Here is a 9,781-nt window from a genome sequence, read left to right as displayed (position 1 = left end):
CTTTTTTTTTTTTTTTTTTAGCCATTTGGATCACAGCACTCCCGTTTCGAAGAGGACAGCCGATTAATGTCCTAGGAATTAGGAGAAGCAGAATTAAAGCTCGTTTGCTTTTCCAAGGCTCGTGATATGTGCTATTGGCCCAATCGTTGCTGGAAGCTGCCAGGTTCCGTGGGACTTTCCTGGCTTCATGTGGGGCCATCCACGGTGTTCCTGTCCGAGGAGGCTCGTTCACCCTGTCTGTGTGGGGCACTCCTGTGGTCTCTTTCTCCAGGAGCCTTTTGGGGGTAGCCGTCCCAGCCACCTTGCCAGGCGTCTCTCAGAGTGAGCAGGTGGAGGCCGGGCCGCAGGGCAGGTGAGCTGTTAGCTGGCACTGGGCTCCCGGCCGGCCTCTCTCATCTCTAAGCTGGGCTTTCTCAGCCTGCTGGTCAGATCCAAAGAACTGCTGAGAAACTGGAGGCTCGCCGGCCTTCCTCACTGCCATGGAGATCTGACCATCCTCATTCTGGGCCAAAGAAAACAGGATCCACTTCCCCATATTCCAGAAAGCCCACTGTTTCCATGTCAGTGGAATTTCCATCTAATGCTGTCATTGCTGCTGTGATCAGCCCAGATGTTTGCCAGCGCTGCTTCTTTGTGGTCAACAGAAACGAACTCAGCAAAATGTAATTTTAAAAAAGTAATGTGTATTATTTTTCCTGAGTTATACATGATTAATGTAAAAGAAATTAGAAAATACAGAGAAATTTATGGAAGAAACCAGAAAGACTGATTCTGCCACCGTGAAATGACGCCGTGGTTAACGTCTGTAGCAGCCGCGTGTGCTGAGGATTTCTGCAGTGGGCATGTTTGCTTTTCCATCCACAGCGAGTCCTCACTCAGTGTCACCCGCCCCGAGGCCCTTGGAAACTGCAACTTTTTTTTTTTTGAGAGGGTCTCCCTCTGTCACCCAGGCTGAAGTGCAATGGCGTGATCCTGGCTCACTGTAGCCTCAACCTCCCTGGCTCAAGTGATCCTCCCACCTCAGCCTCCCAAGTAGCTGGGACCACAGGTTTATGTATCACCATGCCCAGCTAAATTTTGTATTTTTTGTAGGGACAGAGTCTCCCTACGTTGCCTAGGCTGGTCTTGAAATCCCAGGCTCAAGCGATCCTCTCGCCTTGGCCTCCCAGAGTGCTGGGATTTCAGGGATGAGCCACCTCACCTGGCCAGAAACTGTGACTTTAAGCAAAACGACAAACAGCAGGCCCTTGAATAAAGACTGTTTTGTTCAACACCTTTGTGTTATGCCATGGATGAGAATAGTAGTTGGTTTCATTTTATGTCTTTCCCTTAAAGTTGCACTTTGAGAAAACCTTTGCCATCAAGATGGTTATATGAGGCCTGGGCCGCAGCAGAACACCTGCTACCCTGTGTCCTCCCTGGGTGTTGTGATCCAGTGTGACAGGAAGCAGTGATAGCTGGTGATTGCTTTATTTTATTTATTTATTTTAAATAGCAAAACATTTTAATCAGTTAATTCTAAAAATAACAGAGACATGTTATATCTGGTGCCGCCTCCTCAAAAGTTTACCACAGATTAGACAGGCAGACTGCAAAGCACCAAGCCAGACATTAAATGTTTTTTGTTGTTTTTTTTGCTTTTTTCTTTTGAGACGGAGTCTCGCTCTGTCGCCCAGGCTGGAGTGCCCTGGTGCGATCCCGGCTCACTGCAACCGCCACCTCCTGGGTTCAAGCAGTTCTCTGCCTCGGCCTCTGGAGTAGCTGGGACTACAGGCGTGTGCCACCACACCTGGCGTGATTGCTTTAATTTCAGCTTCTAAGATTACGGTTGATGGTCATTTTCCATGTACATATTGGTCATTTGGTTTTTTTTTGTGAATTGCCTGTGTGTGGTTTTTGCTTTTTTTTTTTTAACCACTTCTATTGTAATTTATCTTTTCTGTACTGATTTGCAAACACACTTCTTAAACTAAGAGCCTTTATCTATCCTTCATGTTTCAAATATTTTTCCAGTTGGGCTGTTTGTGTTTATGGCTTTTGCCCTACACAGACAGCGGCCTCCCACGCCCCACAGCGCTGTGGCCGCACAGGCCCCGCGAGGCCCGTGTCCCGGTCTGCTCCCTCGGGATGCGGCCCCATGGTGGATCTCCCCAAACCCCCGACACCCGCTCCCGCTCTGCCCCACGGGAGCCATGGGAAGACGTGGCGGGAGGCGCGGGAAGAGCGCTCAGGCTGCCCAGGCGGCCGTGCCTTCGCACTGAGGGGCCCTTCCCAGCCTCCGTTAGATTTGGAGACCTTGGCCCGGGAGGTGCCGGCGCGGGGAGAGGGGTGAGGGGTCTTTGGTGGCTGGCTTTTCCTCTCGGAGCCGCACCATGAAGATGGAAGCCCTGCTCGGCATCCTTGTCGTCGGAGGACGTGCCTCCCTGATTTTCACAGCGGATTGTTTAGCTTAGCTTTTGTGGTGGTGTGTGCGCTTTCCTTCCTGGCATCTCGAGGTATTCTGGCGGGAAGCTAGGAGCGGCTGCGTGGGGATTTTGCTACCACATGCGCTGGTGCCGCCAGAGCTCTTCCACGGACTGAGCCCTGCCTCGGCCGGCGCGAGGTCCTCTGTCTCCTGTGGGCACCCGCTCGCCTCTGCGCTTGGGGCAGATTTGCGTAGCCTCCGTGTCTGGGCGTGGAGGGCCCGGGAGAAGGTGCCGGCATTGGTGTCCTCCCCACGCTGCCCTCCGGCTCATTACTGTAGCCCTGGACGCAGCCCACGGCCCGGCGAGGCTGCGCTCGCACTGGCATTTGTGGAGAGAGCGGAGGTAGTTAGAGTCTGCCCGTGAGGAGGTGAGGATGGAGGTGGTTGCCTGGTAGACAGAGAGATGTCTTTGCTGGCATCTGGACCGAAAGTCACCCGTGGCGCCGAGACGCAGAGGCACGTGGGAATCGGGAAGCTGTGCTGCCCCAGGGCCCGGCGGGCGGGAAGGGCTCCGCCGCCCACGGAGGGGTGAGTGGGGAGGGCCCGGCGGGGGAGGGGAAGGGCCCTGCTGGCCATGGAGGGGTGAGTGGGGAGGGCCCGGCGGGCGGGAAAGGCTCCGTCGCCCACGCAGAGGTGAGTGGGGAGGGCATGTCCACCTGTTCCGTGTTCGCACCTGCAGACTAAACTCACCGCACCCCAGGGTGTGGAGCGACTGCGTGCTGAGCTGCAAGTGAAATGGAGTGTTACACTGTAGCCTTTACGAAAATGAGCAGTGAAAGAGTTTTTTATATGCTTTTAGGAACCACGCAGGAATGGGGGGCCTCAGGGGCCACGCGTGTCGGCTGGATTCCCAAGGTGATCTTCAGGCCGGTGGTTTTCAGCCTGTTGGGATTAGGACCACTTGAAGGGTCTTAATTCTTTTATTGGATTAAGGTATTTTAAAATTGTTTAAAACAAATACATGCTTGTCATGAAAGTTTAGGTAATGCAGATATATGGAACTTCTGTCAATATGGTGGATTGGTCAACATGGGAAATCGTCCCTTCTGCCTCACACACATAAAAATACTGGAAGAGGCTGGGCGTGGTGGCTCCGAGCACTTTGGGAGGCTGTGGCGGGTGGATCACCTGAGGTCAGGAATTTGAGACCAGTCTGGCCAACATGTTGAAACCCTGTCTCTACAAAAAATAGAAAAATGAGCTGGGTGTGATGGTGGGGCGCCTGTGATCCCAGCTACTTGGGAGGCTGAGGCAGGAGAATCGCTTGAACCTGGGAAGCAGAGTTGCAGTGAGCCGAGTTTGCAGCACTGCACTCCAGCCTGGGCGACAGAGCGAGACTCCGTCTCAAAAAAAAAAAAAAAAAAATGCCTGGGAGAAATATCACAGCCGAATTTTCTAGCATAGTTAATTCAAAAGCAGGTGGTAAAGAAGAGACCCAGCAGCCGCTCCAGTGAGGGGGGTGCACACTGGATGGCCCCCATCGGCATCAAAGCGGGTGCACACGGTAGGGGCGTGTGTGTCAGCAGTGACACGGCAACCCGGGTGATCTCAGACACTCAGGCGGCAGAGAGTGGAACTCAACTGCCCTCCTAGCCGAGAGCCACTTGTCCTTAAAATGGGAGGTACAAAATCCTTTTAGCTGGCGGAGACACATGGCAGGGAAGCTGGGGTGGATAGAAAGCCATCCGCACAGAATCAGAACCCCAGGCAGATTTGCACTGCCCCCGCCTCATGGGAACCCCCAGTTGACAAGTCAGCACACCCGTGCGTTTGGGCCGTGAGATTCGTGGAGTCCGCAGCAGATAGGTGCAAAGCTGCCCACAGGGCCCGCCAAGGAGAGCAGCCCCCCTCTGCTTCCCCGCAGAGCGCGGGACACAGCCCCCCTCTGCTTCCCCCCGGGGTGCGGGACACAGCCCCCCTCTGCTTCCTCCCGGGGCGCGGGACTCCAGTGTGGGACACAGCCCTCCCCTGCTTCCCCCCGGGGTGCGGGACTCCAGTGCGGGACACAGCCCTCCTCTGCTTCCCCCCCGGGGTGCGGGACTCCAGTGCGGGACACAGCCCCCCTCTGCTTCCCCCCGGGGTGCGGGACTCCAGTGCGGGACACAGCCCCCCTCTGCTTCCCCCCGGGGTGCGGGACTCCAGTGCGGGACACAGCCCCCCTCTGCTTCCCCCCGGGGTGCGGGACTCCAGTGCGGGACACAGCCCCCCTCTGCTTCCCCCCGGGGTGCGGGACTCCAGTGCGGGACACAGCCCCCCTCTGCTTCCTCCCGGGGTGCGGGTCTCCAGTGCGGGACACAGCCCCCCTCTGCTTCCTCCCGGGGTGCGGGTCTCCAGTGTGGGACACAGCCCTCCTCTGCTTCCTCCCGGGGTGCGGGTCTCCAGTGTGGGACACAGCCCTCCTCTGCTTCCTCCCGGGGTGCGGGTCTCCAGTGTGGGACACAGCCCTCCTCTGCTTCCTCCAGGGGTGCAGGACTCCAGTGTGGGACACAGCCCTCCTCTGCTTCCTCCCGGGGCGTGGGGCTCCAGTGCAGGAAGGTCTTCCCTGCAGGCCACTGGTGGGATTCAGGGAAGAACTTGCAGACTGTACGTCACGGTGGTACAGTTGTGGGGAGAGAACCCCTAGTGTTCATAAGATTGTCAAAAAGAGTTCAGAGCCCTGTCCAGTAGTTCTGTCTTGTTGACTGAGCTTTTGGCATGTGCTTTGCAGCTTGTGGGCAGCATGGTGTTGGAAGCCACGGCGAATTCTGTGATTGGGAGACAGAACCTTCATCTCATGGTCTTATTCTCTGTAGAGTGGGAAGAAGCTACCAGCTTCCCTGGGTTAAGAAGCAGGAGGCAGAGTCATGTCTGTTGGTGGTTCCACAGTCACTGGCTTCTGTGTAGTGGGTTCTTGGTAAATGGCAGTTTTCTCTCTTTTTTGCAGATGGGACCGTATTTGTTGACCCGTGCATAGCTGGGTGTCTGTGAGCGCATCATGGGCTCTCTCCCATTCCTAGGCGGGCTGTGGAGTGCCCACTGAGCTTGGGGATAGTGGGTTGCAGACAGGGCTAAGCGGCAGTTTTTCCGGGTGGGTGTTGGCCTTGCTCACAGTGCACATGGACACATGGCTTCCTCTGTGGCTCTTTCCCTTCCCCGCTTCTCTTCATGGTCCTGCAGTACAGAGCATTTGAGCTTCCTTCCTTCCCGGAGTCGAGTCTGCGTTCCTTCCAGGCAGAGCTGATGCTGGGCGGGCAGGCAAGGAGGCTGGTGCTGGCAGGGCTGCGCTTCCCCGTGGCCTGGTGCAGTCCCAGCAGGACCTGCTGTTGGGGGCTCCTGGCCGTGGTCACGGTGGGCAGGGAGCCACATCCCTCTGTCCGGCCTGGCTCTGCACCACGGTTTGGCTTCCTCTTTGTGTGTTCACCTGGCCCAGCTGCCCTTCGCCACTGCAGAAACAGCACGGAGGGAAGGGGGCGGCAGATTCAGACTTGAGGTCAGTTGGTCTTTTGGGAGCTGGGAGCACAGCCAGGGATTCCCTCCGGCAGCACCGGCATCTTCTCTGGTTTCTTTTCTGGCCGCACCCCACAGCCAGTAAGCCCTGTCTTGTCTACCTTTGAAATACACCCTGAGTGGGGCCCTTCTGCCTGCCCCAGGCCCGTCACCCTCACCAGGCTGCACCTGTTCTCCCGCCTGCCTGCCTTTTTGCTCATGTGGGCCGGGCTCCTCCTGACGTGTCAATCCGTCTATGCTGCCAGCAGACTCTGTGGAAGCTCTCGGCCCCTCCAGCCTGAGTCTGGCCCCTGCCTGCCCCTCTCCACGTTGATCCCCTCCTGCATCCTCTCCCTGCCACGCTGTCCTGGCCTCTCTTGGCTCTGTCCTCTCCCCCACACGGCACCCAGAACACAGGGGCCCTCAGAAGCGCTGGAAGGACGTGTCTCTGGGGTTTCGCTCTGGCTGGGTCTGGATGGCCCTCTGATGCCCAGACACACACACCCTTGAGTCTGTGCAGGGACCAGGTGGCTGTCTCTGTTGGGCAAGTTGGTGGTGGCATCCGCATGTGGAGAGTCCGCGTGGCTGGCAGAGCCCGACAGCTGAGTGCTCGGCCGGGCAGTGTGCGGGACTCGAGGATGGGAGCGGTGAGCAGCGGGTAGAAGCTACTTCTGCAGCATCTGCATGATGCATGCCTTGGAAACACTCTGCATTTCCCGTTCGTTTCCTAAATAAACAGCATCGAAATCATACAAGGAAAAGTTGAGCAAGGAAAGCAACTCCCTCTGCCCCTTCACCTCTCTCCTCTCCCCTCCGTGTGCTCCTCTCTGTTCCTGTGATATGGACGCGTCTTTCTGACACGGCCGAACTCTCAGCATAGATTTGATTTATACATGGTCTTTTAATATCATTCTTAATTTAATTTTAAAAACAAAGCCTTTTCCTCCTCTTTTTAAAAGTAAAACACACCCATTATGAAAAATACAGAAAACATGAAAACATTTAGAAAGAGAAATGTTAGCCAAGCGTGGCGTGTGCCTGTAATCTCAGCTACTCAGGAGGCTGAGGCAGGAGAATTGCCTGAACCCGTGAGGCGGAGGTTGCAGTGAGCCGAGATCACACCGCTGCCTTCCAGCCTGGGCGACAGAGTGAGACTTCGTCTTAAAATATGAATAAAATAAAGAGAAATATTTGGTACATTTTCACATGCTTGTAATTTTTTTTTCTAAGTATTTTTAAAAGCATGGCTGGCCTCCTGGTTTTGCACATAGTGTCACCACAGTAATCTGTGGAGTGAGTAACGATCAGCGTCTCACAGTTCATTGATTCCTTTGCTGCTTTTGAGACTGAACCACAGGCCACCCCATGAGGCAGCCCCTGTTGTTCTCAAGCACCTGCTCTTAGAGGCTGGGGCGTCACCCTCGGGCTCCAGAAGCCTGTTCCACAGCCGGCCGGCGGCAGAACCGGGCCAGCACCCTGGGTCTCCTGACTGAAGCTGTTTCTGGGGCTGTTGTCTTCTTGGCGTTCGAAGGGCATGTCAGTTGGTCACCATATTGAAATTGCTGGTCACAGTATACGTTTGGTATTTTAAGCTGAAGTGAGATTTTATTCCAGAGGTGCCCAGAGCCTGTGGCTTGTCCATGCTCCTGCCCTGGCCCTTTTACCCAGGATTGTAACACCTCTTCCTTCATGACAACTATTTTTCTTTTATAAAATTGCGATACATAGTAAGAAAATAGAGAGTGCAGAAGAGTAGTCTTCCTGTCTGTCCCTCTCTTCTACTGCGATTATCTCCACTTCCTGACTGTTCAAAGGAAGCCTCTGAACTTACTGTTCTCAGTTAAGTGAACTAACATCACATTTATTCAAGGAAGCTTATTTCATTATAACATTCACTCATGTTTGTAAAGAATATTAGTCACTGGCTAAGCGGATAGTGTGCTCCAGAAAGTTCTTCAGTTTTGGGTCTAAAGTACCAGAATGGACAGATGAGGCTGCATATTTGTACGGTCTTTTCAAAATTATTTTTGTAGTGGTATGAGCAGATTTCCCAGGATGGAGCATTCACAGCTGGGAAAACAGTTGTTGCTTTGAAGATGGTTTTCCCAGGCACCCGGCTCACGTCTCCTGCTGTCAGGCGCATAAACAGTGTCTAGTTTAAACTTGCTGCGCTCCTGGTAATTCTGAGTGGCACGGGGTGGCCTTTCCACGTAAGCTGCATGGGCCCCTCGGGAACACAGTTGCGCTGACCTGGAGGAAAGCTCTGCTGTGATTTGCCCGGAGCTGCAGTACTGACATGCGGGCGTCAGGGTGTGCAGCACCTTGGAGCCACCGGCCTCTCAGGTGTCTGAGCTTTCATTTGCTGCTCATAGATGACGTGAATGCATTAGAGATGGGTCTCGCTGTTTCCCAGGCTGGAGTGCAGTCACTATTCACAGGCATGATCATAGCTCACTGCAGCCTCGAAGTCCTGGGCCCAGCAACCCTCCCGCCTCAGCCTCCCGGGCCACTGCATGCATGGCGGATGATGCTTTTAAAGGCTGGTAAATAAATCCAGTGTTGAGGCCCTTGCCTCGGTGCTGACAGTGGAGGTTGGCCTTCTCCAGAGCCTTTGTGGCCTGACAGAGCCCTGCCCACGGTTCAGGACTCAGCATAGCTGCCACCTCAACCCAGGTACTTTGGTCCCGCCTGGCAGTGTGAGATGGTAACCAGATGGGGCGAAACCTGTGGGTGCCATGGCAGAGCCTGGTGGGTGCTAGCACGGGGCTGGTGCTTAGGTGGCACCGAGATCCCAAAGCACAGAGCTTGGAGTTTGGTGGGAACTTACTCCCTGGGCAGGGGCCAGCGCTGCTGTGGGCCGTTCAGGCCAGGGTTCCTTCCATCCTTCCAGCTCTCCCCTGCCCCACCGGGTGCTCTCCACGCTGCCTGGTCCTTGGGAGCCCACCCCCAAGCTAGTTCCGGGTTGGGCACCCTCTGCACACTTGTGTCTCACCGTGAAGTGGGGACAACCGCAGACCCGTCTCAGGGGCTGGGGAGATGCCATGAGAGTACACGGGAGACGGAGCACAGCCCTCTCCTGTGCAGGGTGGGGACGTCGCTGTTGGTTTTGTTTAAACTCGATCATAATGAAAGCGTGGTCTGAATTTCTGAAGTTGGGTTTAAATTTGATCATAATGAAAGCGTGGTCTGAATTTCTGAAGTCAGGCTTTGTAGCAGGAAGTCTGGCTTTGTCAACAGTTTCATCAGCCAATGTCTCCTGATACAGTTGAACTTGGGAAATGGAAATACAAATAAGGGCTAATTCGTGTGGTGACAGCCTCCTCAGCTGCAGATACACCTCCAAGAGGACTGTGTGTTTTGTGGGGTGTAAGGTCATTCTAACGACTGTTGTGTGCATAGCGCCTGATAGCTGGGGTTTTCCTTAAAGAAGCCGAATGACTGTGCCTCCCTGCGCGAGGGTTTTTCTCCAGTAGCCACTTCCACTTTGACGCTTTCACCCGACAATCTCAGCCCAGGGGATGAAGCTTTCGTCCTTGCCCAGCATGCACACTTGTCTTTTACCACAGGGTCGGGCGTGGGAGGAGGTTTAGTTTGGATAGCCACGTAAACGCCTTTCCCTGTGGCCTGCGATGTTCCACACCGTTTATGTGTGAACTGGCTGCACCCGCGCCTCCCGGACGGGGCTGCCAGGGAGGAGGGCCCGGGAGACCCCATCCAGACCCCGGCCCGCACGCTGCAGAGGTCTGCTCTCAGACATGTGGTGGGCTCCGTGTCACGGGTAAGGGGTCGGGGTCTAGACGGCAACAGAGTGTCTCTCTCTTCCCGCTCCCTGGTGTGCCCACCTCCCTGTAC

The 9,781-nt window shown here is 55.1% G+C and overlaps 1 protein-coding gene across 8 annotated transcripts in view, besides 2 other annotated features; it reads left to right on the top strand.

Moving 5' to 3' along the window:
• Nucleotides 1-9,781, top strand: part of CHLSN (cholesin) — a 160,294-nt gene that overhangs the window by 25,533 nt on the left and 124,980 nt on the right. The window contains exon 3 of one of the 8 annotated variants that reach the window (NM_001350970.1): nucleotides 22-1,270. The exons of the other annotated variants lie outside the window; for them this stretch is intronic. Within the exon in view, the coding sequence (NP_001337899.1) occupies nucleotides 22-75 (54 nt within the window). The 3' untranslated portion in view covers nucleotides 76-1,270. Of the gene's footprint in view, nucleotides 1-21; nucleotides 1,271-9,781 lie in introns of those variants that run through there. 8 annotated transcript variants of the gene reach the window in all.
• Nucleotides 1,694-2,534: an enhancer, noted in NCBI's record as "H3K27ac-H3K4me1 hESC enhancer chr7:1149827-1150667 (GRCh37/hg19 assembly coordinates)". NCBI's record gives its function as "activates a minimal SCP1, AML or CMV promoter by ChIP-STARR-seq in naive and primed H9 embryonic stem cells {active_cell/tissue: H9 hESC(naive and primed)}" and the evidence as "EXISTENCE:reporter gene assay evidence [ECO:0000049][PMID:30033119]".
• Nucleotides 3,937-4,480: an enhancer, noted in NCBI's record as "H3K27ac-H3K4me1 hESC enhancer chr7:1147881-1148424 (GRCh37/hg19 assembly coordinates)". NCBI's record gives its function as "activates a minimal SCP1, AML or CMV promoter by ChIP-STARR-seq in primed H9 embryonic stem cells {active_cell/tissue: H9 hESC(primed)}" and the evidence as "EXISTENCE:reporter gene assay evidence [ECO:0000049][PMID:30033119]".

Source organism: Homo sapiens, chromosome 7 (genome assembly GCF_000001405.40).
Source record: "Homo sapiens chromosome 7, GRCh38.p14 Primary Assembly".
NCBI classification, from domain to species: domain Eukaryota; kingdom Metazoa; phylum Chordata; class Mammalia; order Primates; family Hominidae; genus Homo; species Homo sapiens.
This window is presented reverse-complemented; position numbering and strand designations above follow the sequence as displayed.